Source organism: Homo sapiens, chromosome 1 (genome assembly GCF_000001405.40).
Source record: "Homo sapiens chromosome 1, GRCh38.p14 Primary Assembly".
Taxonomy (NCBI): Eukaryota; Metazoa; Chordata; class Mammalia; order Primates; family Hominidae; genus Homo; species Homo sapiens.
In genome coordinates this window covers 38,099,088-38,119,582 of record NC_000001.11, presented here as the reverse complement: position 1 = coordinate 38,119,582, position 20,495 = coordinate 38,099,088, and the positions used below count along the sequence as shown (strand labels likewise).

The window sequence follows — 20,495 nt, the reverse complement described above, 5'->3', positions numbered from 1 at the left end:
CAAATTGTCACCTTCACATGTTTTCTCTTTATGTTAAAGCTCAAATGACACATTGATGTTAAGTGTTTTTATTTTTATTTATATAGTTTCCATTTTTAATCAATATTTTTATTTTAAATTGCATCCAAAATCATCAGTGAAGAGAGAGAACTGCAAGGAGAAGGGAGAGTGGGGGAGGCATAATCATTGCAAGATGTGAGCTGGAGTACCTTGTTTCTTACCAGAATCATCCTTCAGCACTGCAACGGGCCAGGCCCTGGGCTAGGGAAATGTGGGGCAGGCAGGAATGAATCTGCCCGAGTCCCTGCCCAGAAGGACCTCTCAGCAGGTGAGAAGAGAGGAGACATTTCCAGGCAGCACATGAGAGGAGCCATATCCAGGGCGCAGCTGTCTGGGAATGATCTGGGTGACTAAGCAAAGAGGACCAGCCAGGGAAGGCAGGACTCAGGACACAGACAGGAGGAAGCGTCGCCCTAAATCAAATCCCAGGAAAGGTCCCACGATGACAGAAGGGATCGTCGTGGATCTGAGGCAGAAGTGCTCTGAAGCCCAAGCTGGCAGGTCTTCCAGCAGGCAGTGCGGCTGCCTTTTACCAGCAGTGTAGGAGCGGTGGGAGAGGGCTCCTCAAAAGGGAAGGAGAAAAGGTCATGGGTTCTCACTCGGAGCTACTGCTGGGGGCTGATGATTAAAATGCAATGGGGCATGCAATGGCTTTAATTTACAGAGCCCCCGGAGACTGGGTGGCTCTGGAGCTGCATCTGCATGGGGGCGGGAGTGGGGACCCCTCTCCAGAGGTTGAAGTGTGGCTTCTGAAACGTCATTTGTCACTCCCGCAGCAGCCCAAGACCCAGTCTCTTCAAGCGAGTTGCAAAAAAGGAAGGAAGGAGAGAAGGAAAGAAAGAGGGAGAGAAAAAAGGGACAAGGATGAGGAATGGAAGGAAGAAAAGAAAAAGGAAAGGAGATGAGAGGAGGAAAGAGTGAGGGGAGGGATAAACAAGTCCAAAGGGCAAAGCGGGTCCTCCTTCAGGGACACCAGGGCCTGGTCCTGTCAGAGGCAGCACCCTGGGAAACCTTGAGCAAAGCTTCCCTTCAAGCAGAGGAAAGGAACATGAGAGTCCAGGAGGCCTCAGCCACAGCGCAAAGATGGAAGTGATGACCGGGAGCCACTGCAGACACAGGGAAGATTCCATCCTGCTCACCCTGAGACAGCCATGCCTGCATCCTGAAGTGAATACCAATACCCTCACTAGATGTACACACTGCAAAATACACCAACATACAGGCACAGCTGCAGAGACACTCACGACAGGCATGGACAGATTTACATACAGGTACAAGACACATAGAGGCACTGGAAAGAACAAACATGCTCATAGACGTAGATGACACTTGCACAGATGCTAACAGAAAGCACAGACTCATGTCCGCAGATACTGACAGAGGTCATCAGACACACACCAGTGTGGACCTACCTGCATGGACAGTGCACAAGCAGACATTTGCAGATACAGGCAGAAATGCACAGACACACACGGATACTGACAGATGTATGCATGCAAGAAGTTTGCTTATACACAGATGTGTAGGCTCACACTGACACAGACACACCTTGGTACACAGATGTGCACAACTACATGGGTGCACCAGCTCTTGCACTGATAGACATGCACACTCATTTATAAGAACACACGCACCCAGCATACCCTTAGACACGTGCACACACACAAAGACAAGCTCGGAGACACCGGCCGACATGCTCAGGCACGCCAGCAACCAGGCAGACACTCATGCTGCTGGGCTCTGTTTTGAGCTTAGGCCCTGGGTCTCAGCTTCCCTGAGTGGCTGTCCTCAAGCCAGGCCCTCTCCTGCCCCACTCCTGCCAGCTGCCCAGCTTTGGCGAGTTCCCTGGCCAAGCCCGCCAGGCCCACCCACCAACCCTTGGTCAGATCCGCCCATCAACCCTTGGTCTGCGCATTGGCCCTGTCCCAGGCCCCAGGCTCCAGGATAGCAATTGCTCCATTCTACCAGGTGCCGACTCAGCCAAATTTCACACCCAGAAATGGAGCCAGGCCAGCAGGGCTTGTTGCAGCCCGTGTGGGGCATCAGCATGGGGGTGGTGTGAGGGAGCCAGGATCCTGTAGTGGCAGAGAGAGAAGCAGCCCCAGTTGCCATGCAGCCCTGCCTGGTGATGCTGCCAGCTTCTTCTTCAGGTCATCCACCCTCTCCAGGCCTCAAGCTCCTCACCTGTGAAATGGACAATATGCCTGCCCTACTGACATGCCAATTAAATGGACATCCCCTCTCAGATGACAAAGAGATTTTGCCTAAGTTTCCCTTGCCTAATCTTTACAATAACCCAAAGACATAGGTTTTATTTTCCCTGCTTTATACTAGGAAGCTGAGCCAAGGAAGGATAAGTAACTTAATCAAGGGAGCAGACAGGACTGGAACCCAGGTTCCTGCTCCAAATTCCATATCTTTCAGGTAGGTAAGTATGCAGCACATGACCTCCCAGAATCCAAACACTTGCCCATGGGAAATGTCACTAAGAGCTCACAGTCTCTTTTTTGGTGAATTTAGACTTGGCCTCTGAATCCTTCTCAACACACCACTCCAAGCACCATTCATACTTGGCCAGAGTTGGCATGTGGAATGAAACCTACTGCCATCCTATCCCTACATTGAATTCATCTAATTCAGAGGGTTGATGGGACGATTAAATGAGATCAAGGGCAGAAAGTACTTTGTAAGATTACAAGTGATGTGCCTATCAGACAAATTGTAGTACAGTTTTCTTTTCTTTTCTTTTCCCAAGACGGAGTTTTGCTCTTTTGCCCAGGCTGGAGTGAAGTGGTGTGATCTCGGCTCACTGCAGCCTCCACCCCCCCGGTTCAAGTGATTCTCCTGCCTCAGCCTCCTGAGTAGCTGAGATTATAAGCGCCCGCCACCACGCCTGGCTAATTTTTGTATTTTTAGTAGAGATGGGGTTTCACCATGTTGGCCAGGCTGGTCTCAAACTCCTGACCTCAGGTGATCCACCTGCCTCAGCCTCCCAAAGTGCTAGGATTACAGGTGTGAGCCATCGTGCCTGGCCTGTAGTACAGTTTTCAAAAGCTATTTACATCCAAGTCCTCCCAAGTCTCCCTATGCTGGGGTGGATGGTTAGGGACAAGATAGTCATTGTCATTGCTCCATTTCACAGAGGAAGAGACTGAGGCTCAGTCAAATGAGTCCAGGGTAACATAGCTAGGTCAGAGGTAAGACTGAGGCCCATGCACTGACGTCTGTTTCAGTGCTCTTCACAGTCAGGGCCCCAGCCAGACAGGATGCCAGAGTGTGTGGGCATTTGGGAGTCAGTGCTGGGAAGGGAGCAGGAAGGCCCAGTCTTCTCCCAGGAGAAAGGGATAGACCCTACAACTAATTGGTTCAGAGTGCTTCTTTTGACCCTAATTAGCTATTTGTCATGTCTCCATTTGCATACCAGAAAAGATGCAAATTTGCATATTTGTAAATGAGGCCGGGCCTAGATGTGGGTTCTGGAAGAGCTTGGCAGTTGCTGGCAGGCAGGGAGGCAGCTGGCTCTTGCCACTGAAGCATGGGCCGCTGAGGAAAGAGGAGATTTGGAAGACAGCTCCTTGGCTCAGGCCTGCAAGGTGCTCTCAAAGGGGGTCAGGCAAGATGGCCCGCCCGCCTCGCTCCCTCCCCCAGGGCTGAGGGGTGGGCAGGGAGAATGGGTGAGCCTAATGCTGCTATTTTGATTAGATGAAACAAGGAGGGGGGGAATATAAAGTAATTTCAGGACGCTCTGTGCTGGGAAACCTTCTGTTCACGTCCTCGGATAGAATCTGTAACACTTGCAAAGGGGGAAACGTCCCCCTCCACCTTCCTGGAGAGGAAAAGGTTTGGGAGGAAATGGAGGTCAGGGAAACACACCCTAACACACACACTCACACACACACACATGCACACTCTCTCTTTCTCTCCTCCAGACTCTCATTTTACACACACCTACAATTCACTTAATAGACGTACACACTCGCATACACGTCTGGGCCCCCCAGGAACACCCGTATTTACACACGATATCCCCAGTCCCCCCAAAGGTACACACGCAACGCGAACTGGAGAGGCACATTCGCACATATGCAAGCATTCCCAGACTTCCCGCGACACACACATTCACGCCCTTACACATACAGACACACACTCAGACACTTGAACATAGATGTAGGCACACAGACTCACTTAAGCTGTGCGTAAATATTTACATACACACACACAAGACGTGCTCACGCAAGCACATCCTTGCTAAGACCACATTTCCTGGCAAATTCTGGTAATTCTGACCCCTCTGCCAGAGTTCTTGGTGCCTCTTTGGGAAGAGACAAAGGAAACTAGGGACCTGTCCTTCCTAGAAAGGGAGTAATGTGTCCCCAAGGAATTGGACCCCAAACAAGGATTATTTCTTTCCCCGGAAAGCCAATGACTAGCAAATGCTCCAGTGCCTTCTGGGCTTCCACCTAGAGCTTGGAGCAGGATCTGGGTGGGCCTTGACAAACGGGAGAGCAGAGCGGGAGAAGATGTATTGGTGGGTCCCAGGCCATGAATTGCAGGAAACCATCATTGCCTGAGAATTTCCATGTTGACCTCAGAGGCCAGTGTGGAATGGGGTGGCGTGAGCTGCTGTACCTTCATCCCTGAAGGCCCCAAGAGGCCAAGCTCAAAGAAGCTCCAGACTCCCAAAGCTTCCCAGGATCTAGGGCCCAGGGGCTGGACACTGGAGCTTAGAGGCACAGGGTCAGGACCAAACTCCTCAACCACTGTTCCCATTCCCCAGCACCTCCTCCCCAGTGCCTGCATCTCAAAAGGCAAGCTAAATGGCTCTGTATTTGTAAATTAAATATAGCTGCACTTCAGCTTTCCAAAGAGCTGGGAAGGAGAGAAGGAGAAAGAAAAAGAGAGAGAGGAAGAGAAGAAAAGCTGCCGCCCTCAGGAAAGTCTGGCTGGTACAGATTGCCTGAGTCATGAATATTCATCTGGCGAATGAGGAGAGCGGGAGTTTGCATAACAGCTCCACCCACCCAACTGAAAGAAATGTCACCGCCTTTGCCAATAAAGTGCCAAAGGAAGCCGGTGGAGGCTGCCAGCCAGACGGTGCCAAACTGCTGACTTCCACTCTAAGGCGTGGAGAAAGCACATTGTTTCCGGCCCAAGGAGCCGCCACTTGGGGCTGGGGGAATGAAGCTGGCTTCTGGGAGAGAACCAAGAGGAAAAGTTTCACTTGCCACCCACAGGAAGCCTGGTGGGCAGAGCGCCTAGGCCACAGCCCTCCCTAGGGCCCCTCTGAAGACAGGCTCAAAGCTGACTCTTCCAGGGCACCCACCCTGGCCAACCACCAAGGGCCCAGGTTCCAGGCTGGCTCCAGCTGCGAGCCCCATGCTCAGGACTGCCTTAAAGAAACCTCAAGAGGATCCTCATGAGTCCCAGGTTGTTACTAGGGACCAGGAAGCAAGGGGACAAACCAGATGTCACTTTGGGGCCTGGAAGTTTTCCTTGGCCCCATTTTGCAGAAGGGATCACCAACTGCAGGGTCATACACACTTCCAAGGCCCAATCCTACTATCTCTTATTCCAAGACATCTTCCCAGATTCCCTGTCACCAAGACAGAGTCAGTCTCTGTGTCCTCTGCACACCCCAGTCCTGATAGCTTCCTTTGATCCCAGCCCTTTCTGGCCCATGACTGCTTCCTCCCCTGACCTGTGAGCTTAGAGAGTGGGCTCTTCCTGATTGATCGGCCTCAGTGCCCCAGCCCAACATGAGATTCAGAGAAAGCACCTTGAGCAATTCGTTGAGCAGAGTCGATTCTTCCATGCGTTCCCCTCCCCATGCCTGTACCTGGCTCTGGATCTGTCCTTTCTTGGAATCGTGCTTGTCAAGTCCCTGGGAGGAGAGGCATTCCATCCCGGCAGCTCACTTTGGGCCCACTGAGATCAGGACTGAAGCCGAGCAGCTGGCCTCCCATCCTCAGCACCCTACTCCCCATGAAGAGCACGGACAGGCTCCAGCTCCCGTGGCACCCCATCCTCATGGCGGCACCCATTAGGTGGTGTCACAAATGCGCCTGCCTGCCCGCCAGCCTTCCACAGCTGGCTCCCTCCAGTAATTACCTAAATGAATGGGAGAAGCAGAGCTGAAGAGAAGACGTTCTCTTAGTACAGAAAAGCAATTAGGGCTGTGGGCGTCTCCAGCTGCTGCTCCTGTTATGTAAAGTTTGGGATGTGTATTTGGGACTTAATGAGGATATTCGTGTGTTCACATCTTACCTTCGCAGACTGCTCATTTCAAGCATTCCAAGTCCGCCTGGCTGCCGTACACAGCAATACAAGCTAGGCCACAGGTTCTGAGGGAGGAGTACCACTATGGGGCAGCCAAGGAGCCCCTCTTCCAGGACTCATGGAACCACAGAAATCTATGATGACAACCCCTTAGAACCTGGCTTCCTTCTGCAGGATTCCTGCTAAGTCCACATTCTGCTTGAGGCCTCTGGGAACTCAAATTCCTCTACCACCTCCTTCATGGGTTAAACATCTGCAATTGCTTTCAAAGTTCTTCCTTGAACTGAGCCAAAATTTGCCTCTTTGCAACATTCTTACATTTGCCCAAACAATTCTGTATGTCTGGGACCACACAGGATGCGCTGCTCCCTCTGCCCCAGGTCCGTCACTAGTCCTGCAGGAGGCAAATCGATATGGAACTGAAAAAGCTTCTGTAGTTGAATAAGCTTGAGAAAATGCTACATTAAACAAGTTTCTTCGCTGCAGGACTTCTCAAAGCCTTTACTGTACTCACGTGCACTGAGCTGTGGGTGCTGCATTTCCTGAACACATCTGCTCATAGAACCCTTTTCTGTGAAACAACTGCAAGAAACTAAAATTCCAAGGACAATGTGTTTGAAAGCACTGCTTCGGCAGGTTAAAAGCAAACATCTAATTCCTTGGCCTGAGCTCCTTCGAGCATTTCTCCTAGATGGGCATGATGCCCAGCCTCCCCTGACCCTGGTCATTTTCTGTGGGTGAGCTCTGCCCGCGTGTCTGCCTCTCTCCACTGCTCCAGAGAAGCTCTGGCCACTGAGAGTCCAAAAGAGCATTTATCTCCACTATCCAGAACCCCATGCTCCCACTGATGCAATCAAAACACCATTAGAGGCCCAGCAGCCGAATCACACTGAGTATATTCCTTAAAAGTCTTCCCAACAAGCCACTACTGAGCCACAACTCCTTGTTCTGCTCTCGGGCACTGCAGTTGGAACCCACAGGCAGACCCCTCCATGCTCAGTGTTCCAGACAACAGAGTGCTGACGATGCTTTCTCTGGACAGCCAGATGGTGGGCCGTGGTGAGTCCTCAAATATCTGTACACCAACTGGTAGTTCACACACAGTTGGGCTTTTTCACAGCATCACCAAAAGGACGAACTTGTTCTCTTGTTCTAGTGCTTGGTCAGCTCAGACTCACTGGCAGAGTGCTCCACTCATCCAGGCTCTGGCCTGGAAGTCTCACCAGACTGAGCTCACCGTCTATGCCTGCATGGATGGGAGGCCCTGGCTCCACCAGGCCTCGGCTTTCCTGCTCCTTCCGTCGCCCCTTCCATGTGTTTCTTCTCATCATCCTGCAAGCGTGTGTTCAAGCCCAGGCATGGAAAATAGGTTCATCTCAGCAGCCAACTCCAAGAACCTGGTAGCGGCTCCCTGAGCTGGCTATTAGGAGAAAGATTTTATGGCTTCATCTGGGCTCGGCAGAATGACTAGTGATGCCTGCCAGGGCTGGGGAGTGAGCAGGGAGGCACACGAGCCAGTTATTGACATCTCTATTCAAGGCTCAGTCCCTTTCCCTTAAATCAGCTCCCCCAAGCTAAAATCCTCCTTTCTCCCACAACAAACTCCCTTACTCCCACACACGACAATGCACAGCCTCATTCCTCCACTGAAACTGCTCGGTCCAAGGTCATCAACAAGGTCCTATTTGTCAAGTCCTGTGCCCTTTCCCCAGCCTCCGTGCCTTTGCATCATTAGATATGGTTGACCTTTCCCTAGAAATTCGCCCCCACACCCATGGAATCCTGAGACACTCCATGCTCCTGTAGCCCCGCGCCTTCCTGACCACGCATCCTGTTTCTTCACCCGTCTTGTCACCATGGCTGTGTTCCAGGCTCAGTTTCCAGCTTTCTCCTGCACCTGCCGATGCACTCTCTCCCTCTGAGATTTCATCCCTAGCTCTGTCCTTGGGGAAAAGCCCACCCCAGCCCTCCCCTTCTAAGAGGCAGCCATACTGCCCACCAGCCACTGCCACAGAACAAAGCTCTGAAAACCCAGGGCCTCCTTCTTCCTCCAGCATCAACTCTTGCTCTGGGTTTGCCATGATGCATGAAGCTTCCGGGCACCAAAGGGCAAATTCTTGGCTTATGTCTTGACTCCTTATCCACATCTGTTAAATCACCACATGCTGATTCCTCCTATTTAGTATCTGCCTTATTTCCAAAATGCTACAACAAATAGAATTATTCTTTGTTCTGATTAAAAAACATGATATATCTTCATTATAAAAAAAAATCTAACCAATACTTAAAAGTACAAAAAAGAAAGTAAAAATCCTACCTCCCAGATACAACCACTCCAAGCATTTTGGTGAACAGCCTTCCAGACATATCTCTATGCATATATACACATAGAGATCTATGTATATAATTTTATAGACGAGGAATTGTATTATACATACTGTTCTCGCTGACACCTGCTTTTCTCTCTCAACAATATGTCCTAGACATCTTTCTATGTCAATAAATAGAGCTCTACAAAATTATTTTAATTACTTCATAGTAGTCCATTATATGTATCATACTTTATTTAACTGGGTCTTTACTGATGATCATTTAAGGATGTTGTGAGAATTTTGTTCTCATAAACAATGTTGTGATAAATATCCTTGTGCATATTCTCTTTGCTCATTTTTGCAACAATTGCCTTAGAATAAAATCCAATAAATGAGATGGCTGCAATTAAGGGTATGCTATTTCTATTTTGCCACTCTGTCCTTCAGAAAGCTTACAACAGCAAAATTCTCATCAACCGTGCCCACACATTAGTCCAGACCCTCATCAAGCCTGGGTTTTGTCAGCCTTAATGTTTGGCCAGATCAACAGAAGGCAAATGATGCTTGTTTCTATTGGCATTGCTAAGATTATAGGGAGGGGGAAATAAATGTCTTTTTGTTTTTTCAGGCATTTGTAGTTATTTTCTTTGTGAATTGCCTGTTCATGTCCTTTGCCCATTTTTCTAATGAGATATTTATCTTTTTCTTAATGATTTGTAAGAGCTCTTTGTACATTAGAAATAAAATTAAACTGTTGTCATATATATATATATATATATATATACACATACATATGTATATACCCCTCTTTTAAAATTTTCTTATAATGTTCTTTAAGGTACTTAAATGTTTAATTTTCATATAGTCAAATTTATCAATCTTTTCTTTTATGATTTCAAATATCACGTCATACTTAGAAGAATCTTCCCCACCTTAAGATGATCAAAATATTCACTCATATTTATGCCATGTGGTCTTCATGGCTTGAGCTTATTAGACCAAGTCAGAGAGTTCTTACCCCAATAAGGAGTGTTGCTATGGCTGGCCCATTATCCCAACGCCATTTATAAAATAGCCCATATTTTCCCAACTCAATTAAAATGCTGTTTTATCATATAAAAATACCTTAAGGCTGGGTGCAATAGCTCATGCCTATAATCCCAGCACACTGGGAGGCCAAGGTGGCAGATCGCTTGAGCCCAGGAGTTCAAGACCAATGTGGGCAACATGGTAAAACCCTATCTCTACAAAAAAATCCAAAAAATTAGCTGGGTGTGGTAGCCTGCACCTGTAGTCCCAGCTAATCAGAAGGCTGAGGTGGGAGGATCACTTGAGCCCGAAAAGCCAAGGCTGCAGTGAGCCAAGATCACACCACTGAACTCCAGCCTGGGCAACAAAGTGATACTCTGTTCCAAAAACAAACAAAAATTCCCTTAAATATCTGGGCCCATTTCTAGACTCTAGTCTGTCCCAGTGATCTGTCTGTCTATTCCTAGACAAGAATTTTAATTATATTGTGCCTTTATAAAACATTTTAATATCTGATAGAGTAAATATTCATCATTTTTCTTTTTTGGAATTTTCCTTATTCTCATTTGGTATTCTTCCAGATTAGCTTCATAATTATTTTGTCAAAAAAAATTCTAATCCTGTTGGGATCTTGATTGGATTATCTTAATTTCACACATTTGTTTAGGAGAATTGACATCCTTAAAGCATTAAATCTTTCTACTCAAGAACTAGGTATATACCATATTTATTCAAACTCAGAAGAGTTTTCTTCATGTAATGCTACACACTTTTTTGTAAAGTTTATTTCTGAGTATTTTGTGTTTGTGTTTTACAGTATGGATGGAGCTTTTATTTTACCTTCTAGATAGTCATTTTATAAATAGAAAGACTGTTAGTTTGTGTAAATTTTTTTGTTACTGGCCATTTTACTAAACTCTATTTTTTCTGATTGTTTTACAGAATATTGTCTTGAGTTTTCCAGATAAATAATCATCTTATCTGCAAACTATGATTATTTACTCCTCTCTCCCAACATTTATACTTTCTGTTTCATCTTCTTATCTAATTGCAATGCCTAGCACTTTTGGAAAAGAGTTTTTTAAATGTTGATAACAATGGTTATCCTGATCTGGTTTCTGATTTTAATGACAAAACATCTAGAACTTCACCAACCTAATATCTCTCGTTCCATTCTCTCCACCTCTGTAGCCACTATCTTATCTAGCCCATCCTAATTTGTCAACTGTGTTACCATAAATATGGTGAATAAGGATACAGGGTTTGAAGTCAGATGACCTGTGTTCAAATCCTGACTCCACCATTTGCTAATTATGTGGTCTAGTCAAGTTACGCAAGATTTTGGAAAGTCAGCTTAAAAAAAAAAAAAAAAAAGAGGGATGGGGGAGGCTCTTTTAAGGATTAAGTGAGATAATACATGAACTATGTGTAGCATCCATAAATGATAATTTTTAAAGTCTCAGCCCCCAATTTCTCTTTCCAATCCTATATATATATATATATATATATATATATATATATATATATATCCCACTCTTACGTTGATCTTCCCAAAATATCACTGTGTTCACATCACTTATCCTTTCCCTTCCTCTGCTCACAAATCTGAAGCTACACCCCATTGCCTACAAAATCAAGCCCAAATTCTTAACCTTGCATTTGAGTCATTCCATTATTCAATCCCAGACTTTCTTCTAGTCTCATTTCCTATAGACCTCAGCCACCCTCACCCCACTACGCACCCTCACCCACCCTTTACTCCCGCCTACAGGGTCTCCTCATTCATGGCTGCCTAACACCAAGTAGACTCTCGGCTCCCTACTCAGATCCCTCCATCAGCCCCCGTATCAGCCCCTGTATCCAAACTGGCCTAATAAAGCAGATTGATTAGTTCATGTAATACTCCAGATGCAACAAACATCAGGCATAGTTTGACTGGGGCTGGGACTCCATTTTTCTGTGATTTTCCAGGTTCTTCCCACCTCCATATGTTGGCTACATTCTCAGGTTAGTGTTCCTAGTCACCAGATGCCTGCCAGAAACTAGGCCCACATGTTTCCTCATTCAAATCCAGATACAAAGAGATTAGACGTGCTTCCCCAGCCATCTCACCAAAACCCCGAGTTTCTGTCTGATGGGGCCAATCTGAATCAATTCCAGTGACTAGGAGAATGTATGTATGGTTGGTTTGGAACCAGCCAATGTGCCAAGGTCAGAGAAGGGGGCATTATCTGAATTGGCTAAACCAATCAGGATCCACCTCAGAGCCACACACACTGATGGAGACAGAGGTGGCGTCGACAACCTCACTTGCACTACAGCCTCTTCCACTTCTCTTCCCTGGGACTTAGGCTTCCTTTAAGGCCCAAGTCAAGCCCCAGACCTCTGGCAATGTGCCCCTCCATTTGGCTCCTAGAGCTCTTACTCTGCTTGACGCATAGTAACCACTGCCATATATAATTTATTTATGTAGTCATTTGTCTCATCTTTCCAATTAGTAGTCACAGAACTGATTGAAGCCTACAAAATGCTTTCCACAAGCTAGCCCCTTTGACCTTCACCACAGTCCTGTGAGACTCAGAGGGGTTAAGTGATTTGCCCTATGTCACACAGCCAGAAACAACATTGTCCCAGAGGCCTCTGCAGCAATTGCATACACACACACACACACAAACACACACACACACCACAATCCCTCCTCTAACCTGCAACATTGGTCTGATCTGAAGATGCAGAAACCCCCCTGGAACCACCTCCTTTTTCCACTTCACCTCAATTTCTAGAGCTCTTAGTTTTCCTCCAAAAAGTACAGGGAAAGTTTTCTTGCCAGACAGCAGTTTCTAAGATTTGTGTGACAAGGCCAAGTAAAATTCAAATGACTCTGGGTGATTTAATCTGCTTGGGGCTGGGGTGGTAAATCAGGGCAGCCCAGGCTGCCACAGCCGCCCCAGAAACGCACGAGCCAAGCTGATGATAGGAGTTTATCTGCAGATCTGCAGGTGAGGGCCCTGGAAGCATGAACTGTGGCCAGGGGAGTTCCCCTCCACTGCACTCAGAATACATTTGGAAGGTCCTATGGCCCACAGCCTCTCTCGACCTACATGTTCCACCAGAAACCATCCTTCCCAAGGCTGCAGCCCCAGTTCCTCCCTCTCCCACCCCCCACCCCATCATCAGAGCTGTTTCCCAAGTCCACACTGGACTTTTCAGGGGAAGGAGACCAGCATGGGTCAAGCTCTCACTGAAACTGCCGCCTCAATGCCAGGCCCTCATGTACCCATTACCTCATTTCATCTTTACAACAACTTAATGAGGGAGGCATGCCCATCCCCAGTTTACAGGTGACTTAATTGAGGCTCAGAGTGATTAAATTTCTTGCCCAGGGTCATTACACAGCTAGTAGGAGGCAAAGCCAAGATTCAAATTTAGTCTCATGAGACTCCAAAATCCCCATCCTTTTAACTCTACCCCATTATGGAGGCCAAGAGGAGTAAGAAGATGGCAGCTTCACTTGGGACCATGTTGTTTGAGAAAAGAGAGGAGCAGGCCCTGGTGGAAGGGAGGTTGTTATTGTGAGCAAATGAAGCAACAGTATTCCCATAGAGAGGAAACATCAAAGGAAAAGGTAGTCACACTTAGGTACCCACTGTGCTAAGCAATATGTGTATATCTGGGTACCATGTGCCAGGTGCTCTACGTCCATCATCCAAACCACAACTCTATATGCCATAAATATTTACTGTTAGCTGGTAAATACTTACCAACCAGCTTTTTGAAAGAAAAAAGGAGTCCTGATTTGTAGCATTTGCCAATTTCTGTGGTGTAAATACTCCCACGATGGTCAATTTCAAGCTACCAATGGGATGTCAATGCATGCAGAATTGGGAAGAGATGCCCAAACGTTTGCCAGTAGGAACCCACTCCAGTGGGTTCTGTTAGCCAGTAGGAACCCACTCCAGCACTCTACTGTCAGTAACAGAGGTGTTGTTAGGCCAGGTGTGGTGGCTCATGCCTGTAATCCCAGCACTTTGGGAGGCCGAGATGGGCAGATCAGTGAGGCCAGGAGTTTGAGACCAGCCTGGCCAATATGATGAAATCCTGTCTCTTTAAAAATACAAAAAAAAAAAAAATAGCTGGGTATGCTGGCACACACCTGTAATCCCAGCTACTTGAGAGGCTGAGGCAGGAGAATCACTTGAACCTGGAGGTGGAGGTTGCGGTGAGCCGAGATGGCACCACTGCACTCCAGCCTGGGCGACAGAGCGAAACTCCATCTGAAAAAAAAACAAAAACAAAAACAAAAGTTGTCGTTAAACCCACTTAACAAATGAGATCATACAAAAGGTGCTTGGGCTAAAATCCATGCCTTTATAATTTTCTAAAGTCCACATTCCCTCCACAGCTCCATGTTCCCAGAAACAAAGATGATGCAAGGAACCACAATCACTGATCTCTAATCTCTGAAGGAGGGTAGACGCCAGTGAAGTCCTGAAGGGCAGAAGAAGGCCAATGGGTAAAAGTTCAGCTGCTCAATATTCAGTGTATAGAAGAACTTTCTGAATGCCCCTCTAGGCTGACAGCTACGGAAAAGCAGTATCCAGGCATGGCTGGCACATAGTAAATGCTCAGTAAATAATTAATGAATGAATGAGACATTACACACTGTTCCATTGATACCTCAAACTCACCAGATCTAAAACTCAGCTATCTTTGTTCCCAAAAAATCCCTCTCTCCTCCTGTGTGTCCCATCTCAGTGAATATCACCAAGCCAGAACCTGAGAGTCCTTGTATCTTCACTCTTCTCCACTCCCCATAGCCAATCAATCAACAAGTCCTATCTATTCCACTTCCCAAATACCTTGTGAACAGGTGCTATCCTCAGTGTCCCCACTCTGCCACCCTGACTGGGACCATCACCACCTCCTGCTGAGCTGACACACAGCTTCCTGACCTGTCTTGTCAGCACGTATCCTTGGCCTGTATCTGCTCCCAGCCCCTATCAAATCCATGATCAACAAAGCTGCCAAAGTCATCTTTCAAAATTGTACCTCTGAGCATGTCACTCCCACAGCTTCAATGAGTCCCCATTACCCAAAGGATGGAGTCAAACCCCCTTGGTCCTCCCGAGGTCTGGTCCCATCTCCCTCTCCTAACTGATGACTCGCCTCCTCCCACACCCCACATTGGTCTTTTGTGGTTTTGTTTTTGTTTTTGTTTTTGTTTGAGACAGGGTCTCACTCTGTCACCCAGGCTGGAGTGCAGTGGTGCCATCTCGGCTCACTGCAACCTCTGCCTCCCAGGTTCAAGTGATTCTTCTGCCTCAGCCTCCCAAGTAGCTGGGATTACAGGTGTGCGCCACTACACCCAGCTAAATTTTGTATTTTTACAAAATACATGTTGGCCAGGCTGGTCTCAAACTCCTGATCTCAGGTGATCCACCCACCTCAGCCTCCCAAAGTGCTGGGATTACAGACGTGAGCCACTGCACTCGGCCACATTGGTCTTTAATCTTCAATGTCAACCTGCTTAATGTTCACTGCACCGTGCCTCCACCCATGCCTTTGTTCACACTATGTCTCCTGCCTGGAATGCCCTCTTTTCCCTCTTCCATCTTTTGCTTTCCTTTGCCTGATAACTCCTACTCATCCTGTAGGATGTAAAGGAAGATAGTTTAAGTAGATGATTCCTGGAGATCTTTTTAATCCTAACATTTCATGATTCTAATGCCAAGTCTTGATATTCAAGGTCCTCTGGATATTATAGTCACCTTCTTTCTCCTTAGGACCCTGCAAAGGTCTCTAGGGATCCTGTAATCCAACTCTACCATTTTACAGACAGAAAATTGGACACCCAAAGAGGGAAGAGGACTAGCCCAAGATCACACAGCAACTCAATGGCAGAGCCAGGACAAGAACTGGGCACCTGCTTCCCAGCTCAGGGCTCTTTCTTTGCACTACATCTTCCAACCTGATCCTCCTCTGCCAACATGGATATTCTCACCACAACCATCACTACCCGACTCAGACTTACCTCCTCTCACCAGAGCCATACTCACACCTTGCCTGCCTTGGCCCAGGATGTTGCCAGGCTGTTCCCTCAACTCCACTCAACTTCCAGGGTCCTCTACCTCCAAGAAGCCTACCTTCATTATCAGGCCAAAACCCTCCACACCCACTCTTACATACCCTTCCCCAAACCAGCCATGTTTGTCGGAGCCCAGCAACTAGGGCTTGGTTCACTCACATGCGGTAGGTGTCTTGTTCAGTTTCACCAGGCAGGATGTCCACTCCTTAAGGCTGGCTGGTATCTCTTCATCTTCTTTCTTCTCCTCCCTTTACATCCCCCAGCTCGATACACAACTGCTCAGGGTAGCAAAGTATAGCCAAAAACAGCATCAGAGGTCAGACAGATGGAGGTTCAAATCCCAGCTCTGTATGCCCTGCAGGGTTGACCTTAAGTCATCTGAGCCTCAACCTTCCTTATCTGTAAAATAGCTCCTACCACCCAGGGTTGCCATAAGGACTGAATGAGCTCACCCATATTACAGGCGTAGCACTTGGTGGGCCCTTAATAAACGAGAGCTCCCTTCTCCACTGCCTTTCTCACTGAAGCCCAGGACACTTGGAGAAATTGACTCCTCTGGGCTGGGAGAGGGGCAGCCTCATGAATACTTTCTCTCACTCTCATCCTCAACAGGCTACGAGCAGCCTGCATACAGACACATGGGGCATTTCCAACCCCCTTCCCCACCCCCAACAATCTGCTTTAACCTTCCCATCACAAATGCCTTGTTTATTTCAATATCACCCGTTTTACTTTTCCGTTCACGCAAAAAAAAAAAAATTACAAAAACAGATTTAAGGGGAAAAAAAGTATTTAATGAGTAAAACTGTCTGTAGCTCTGTTTCTTTCTCAGGAAAAAGTGGCTGTGATTCTGGCATAAGAGAGGGAAGCTCAACAGCTTCACTTCATTGCAGCTGCCAGGAGAAGCACATTTCAGAGTGGAACAGAATCTCCAAATTAAACAGCGCGTCTTCCAGCCAGGAGCTTCCTGTGCCGAATTCAGCTTGGCAGGTGACATCCCAGCTTAAGCAGAGATCCAGCCCCAATGTGAGCAGCTGCAAGGCTCCCTCCTGTTGCCCCTCCTCCAGCATAGGAGAACCAGCCTGGCCAGGCCCTGGCAAGCCACTGACCACCAGAAAAAGGGCTCTAAGAAGGGAAGGAGACAGCTGGAAAAGGAATGGATACACCTGGCCAGTAGGAACTAGGGAACCAGGAGCTCTCCCCGTTCCAGAACATTCAGAGACCAGCACTTTCTTCTCCCTTGACTTAGGGTAATTGGGCATAAAGAACAAATCCAAGACAGACCTCAAACAAAAACCCAGAGAATATGCAGTGTCTTTCCCACCTTCAAAGGTGTCATTTTGGAGGCTGCTCTGGATGGAATCCAAGGGTCAAACTCCAGAAGGACTCTGCCTCCCCTAATAACTTGAAAAGAAAGGGAGAGAACTGGAAAAACAGAAAATAGCACATGACCTTCAAATACCTGCAGTACAAACTGCCCCAGGGCAGAGAGTAAACTGAGGCTAGAGAGAGGCCCCCCTCCCTTGTCCCAAACACCATACTTCTATTAATGTAGCCTACTGACTCATGCTGAACTTACTGGCACTTGAGCTTCTAAATCTTTCTCATGAGCTGCCCATCCCTTCTACAATTTTTCCTGTAGTCAAGATGGGCCTCAGCCTTTTTCCCTGTGATATTTCCTCAGCTAAATTCACCTTGCCACGCCAGTCTGTCGAGATCTTTCTAAATCCTGATTCTGCTGAGGTTTTCTCTGTCCCTTGGAGCTTTCTACCACTCCACCTTTTATAAGTCTGTATCCTCCATGTCTTCTTATAGGTCCTTGGCATAGACTGATCAAAGCAGGGTGGACAGCCCCATGGCAGTGTCTAGAGGCCTTCTGTAGACTGACCTGGTTACACTTACGTGAACATTTCATGGCTGTTGTTTGGCCCAATGGGAGCCCTCTTTGCGCCCTCTCAGACATCCTTCATGTCCTCAAAAGTCACGAGAGACTCTACCCAACATCTTAGGAGACAGTGTGATATGGCAGAAAGGGTCAGACAGACCCAGGTTTGAATCCCAGCTCCACCCACCTTGGGCAAGTCACTTCCCGGAGACTCAGTTTCTCATCAGTAAAATGGAGATTGTCACGTCTTGTTTAATCCACAAGCTTGTGAGGATTAAATAAAACCATGCGTGTGAAGTATCCAGCACACAGTTGGTGCTCAATAAATCACAGATTCCTCTCCACCCATGCTGGCTCGTTTTCTTTACCCACGAGTCATTAAGCTGTCAAGAACCTAAGAGCTGTGCCCGGTCTTGGTGAACCCATGTTGGCTTCAGGGATCACTGCCTTCTTTTGTATGTCACAGATCTCACCATCCATATTAGACCCTCATACTAATTTGAGATCGGCCAAAACCCTGGATCTTTTTTTGTCTGAATTCCTGTCAAGACAGTCCTTCCTTCCTGGACCTGTACAGCTTTTTAAATAACAAGAATAACAGTAGTAATGACAGCTTGATCCTTCCAATCTCACTATGAAATTTTTTTTAAAGTATCTGCATTGTGCCTGTCAGGAAACTGAGGTTCAGAGAGGTTACATAACCCTCCCAAGGTCACACAGCTGGAGATTGTGAAAGCTGAGTGCAGCTGTCTGACCCTGACCACCACACTCACGCATTAGAGAATATTTCCTAAATGCTGGCCTAAGGGGGCATATTGTCTCTGGCCTTGCTGCATGTGTCTTTCAGCCTCAGCCCAAAGTTTCACTTGGTTGAGTGCCTTCTAGGTCCTGACACTGTCATCCACAGGGTGGCCTCCCCTCACCCCACCTCCCAGCCGCTCTGTGCCCACCACCTTCATATTAAATGGGACTGGACTGAGGCACAGACCCCACCACTCCCTGAAGACTGAAACAGTGGGCTTTTCATGTTGGCCCCCAAGCCCACATCACACCATAAACTCTTTGATGCCTGGGCCCCCGATGCCCCCACAGCCCAAGCATAGGGCCAGCTTGGACCCTCTTTCCCAACCCCTCATCAGGGCTTAGCCACCTGCCACCAAACCCTGATGCCTCTGAACTGACCACTGCCTCCTGAATCCCTGGTGCCAGGATTACCCCCTGTCCAAGTGGCACCCCAAGGCCCCTCTTCCCAGACTGTCCAGGTGCTGAGGCCAGCTGCTGCTCATGTGGCTGTCCTCCAGCACTGACTACAGCCTTTGCCCTTCTCCTGATGCCTCCCAGCCCAGGGCTCAGACTGTGCTATAGGGTGAGGGAATTCCCTAAGCATGAGGCCCAGATGTGCCCACAGGCAAAGGAAGGGGTGGACCCAGGAGGCTGCCAGGGACAGGGCTCAGGCCTGTGGCCACCAGGTTTGCAGCCCACCAAGGAAAAGATTCCTAGACATTCCTAGGGAAGCCATTCATGGGTCTGTTTGCAAATCTTTGACAATACCCAAGCAGGATGCCCCAAACCTGAAAGCTCTATCAGAGACTTGCCCTCGGGCCTCAAAGTACACAGTTACCCACATCATCAAACACAGTCACCCACATCATTAAAAATGCAGTCCTGACTGGGCATGGTGGCTCACGCCTGTAATCCCAGCACTTTGGGAGGCCAAGGTGGGTGGATCACTTGAGCTCATCAGGAGCTCAGGACCAGACTGGGCAACATGGCGAAGCCCCATCTCTACCAAAAAATACAAAAAAAAGCCAGGTGTGGTGACTCACGCTTATAATTCCAGCTAATAGGGAGATTGGGGTGGGAGAATGACTTGAGCCCAGGGAGGTGGAGGTTGCAGTGAGCAGAAATTGCACCATTGCACTCCAGCCTGGGTGACAGAGTGAGACCCCATCTCAAAAAAAAAAAAAAAAAAAAAAAATGCAGTCCTTGACTATCACACACCCACACACACTTTATAAACACATTCACAGAAAACACTTCAAAAGCCCACTCATGCCCGCATGACACACAGAAGCCCATCCATCCACTCAGTAAATATCAATTAAGCACCTGCCAGCTGCCAGGCACTGTTCCAGGCACCCGAAAGACATCAGTGGACAAACTGAACAAAGGTTCCACTCTTTGTGAGGGCTTTCATTCTAACAGGGATACTAACAATTTTAAAAACTTAGGATAGTACATAATAAATAAACAAAGCTAGACATGGTGGCTCACGCCTGTAATCCCAGCACTTTGGGAGGCTAAGGCAGGTGGATCAACTGAGGTCAGGAGTTCAAGACCAGCCTGGCCAACATGGTAAACCCTGTCCCTACTAAAATAGAAAAATTAGCTGGGCTTGGTGGTGTGCATCTGTAATCCCAGCTACTCGGGAGGCTGAGGCAGGAGAATTGCTTGAACCCAGGTGGCGGAGGTTGCAGTGAGCTGAGATCGCACCACTGCACTCCAGGCCAGGTGACAGAGTGCAACTCCCACTCAGAAAATAAAAATAAAAAGTAAACAACAATTAGTAAATCACTTGGTATACTGGAAGGTAATTTAAAAAAGAAAAATGAGAACAACATAAGAAGAACTAGAGAGCTGTGGGGAGGGGAGGGCAGAAATTTTTTTTTTTTGAGACGGAGTCTCGCTCTGTTGCCCAGGCTGGAGTGCAGTGGCACGATCTCTGCTCACTGCAAGCTCTGCCTCCCGGGTTCACGCCATTCTCCTGCCTCAGCCTCCTGAATAGCTGGGACTACAGGCGCCCACCAACACACCCGGCTAATTTTGTTTTTGTATTTTTAGTAGAGAC

At 47.7% G+C, this 20,495-nt stretch overlaps 1 long non-coding RNA gene across 1 annotated transcript in view, besides 4 other annotated features; it reads right to left on the bottom strand.

Moving 5' to 3' along the window:
- Window positions 1-52: 52 nt before the first annotated feature.
- Window positions 53-20,495, bottom strand: part of MIR3659HG (MIR3659 host gene) — a 72,397-nt gene continuing 51,954 nt past the window's right edge. The window contains exons 2-5 of the long non-coding RNA NR_168386.1: window positions 17,087-17,166; window positions 15,922-16,037; window positions 13,831-13,951; window positions 53-623 (exon numbers count right to left, since the gene is read on the bottom strand). This is a non-coding gene — a long non-coding RNA (MIR3659 host gene). The remainder of the gene's footprint in view (window positions 624-13,830; window positions 13,952-15,921; window positions 16,038-17,086; window positions 17,167-20,495) is intronic.
- Window positions 1,372-1,914: an enhancer, noted in NCBI's record as "H3K27ac-H3K4me1 hESC enhancer chr1:38583341-38583883 (GRCh37/hg19 assembly coordinates)". NCBI's record gives its function as "activates a minimal SCP1, AML or CMV promoter by ChIP-STARR-seq in naive and primed H9 embryonic stem cells {active_cell/tissue: H9 hESC(naive and primed)}" and the evidence as "EXISTENCE:reporter gene assay evidence [ECO:0000049][PMID:30033119]".
- Window positions 1,915-2,458: an enhancer, noted in NCBI's record as "H3K27ac-H3K4me1 hESC enhancer chr1:38582797-38583340 (GRCh37/hg19 assembly coordinates)". NCBI's record gives its function as "activates a minimal SCP1, AML or CMV promoter by ChIP-STARR-seq in primed H9 embryonic stem cells {active_cell/tissue: H9 hESC(primed)}" and the evidence as "EXISTENCE:reporter gene assay evidence [ECO:0000049][PMID:30033119]".
- Window positions 3,134-3,634: an enhancer, noted in NCBI's record as "H3K4me1 hESC enhancer chr1:38581621-38582121 (GRCh37/hg19 assembly coordinates)". NCBI's record gives its function as "activates a minimal SCP1, AML or CMV promoter by ChIP-STARR-seq in primed H9 embryonic stem cells {active_cell/tissue: H9 hESC(primed)}" and the evidence as "EXISTENCE:reporter gene assay evidence [ECO:0000049][PMID:30033119]".
- Window positions 4,745-5,610: an enhancer, noted in NCBI's record as "H3K4me1 hESC enhancer chr1:38579645-38580510 (GRCh37/hg19 assembly coordinates)". NCBI's record gives its function as "activates a minimal SCP1, AML or CMV promoter by ChIP-STARR-seq in primed H9 embryonic stem cells {active_cell/tissue: H9 hESC(primed)}" and the evidence as "EXISTENCE:reporter gene assay evidence [ECO:0000049][PMID:30033119]".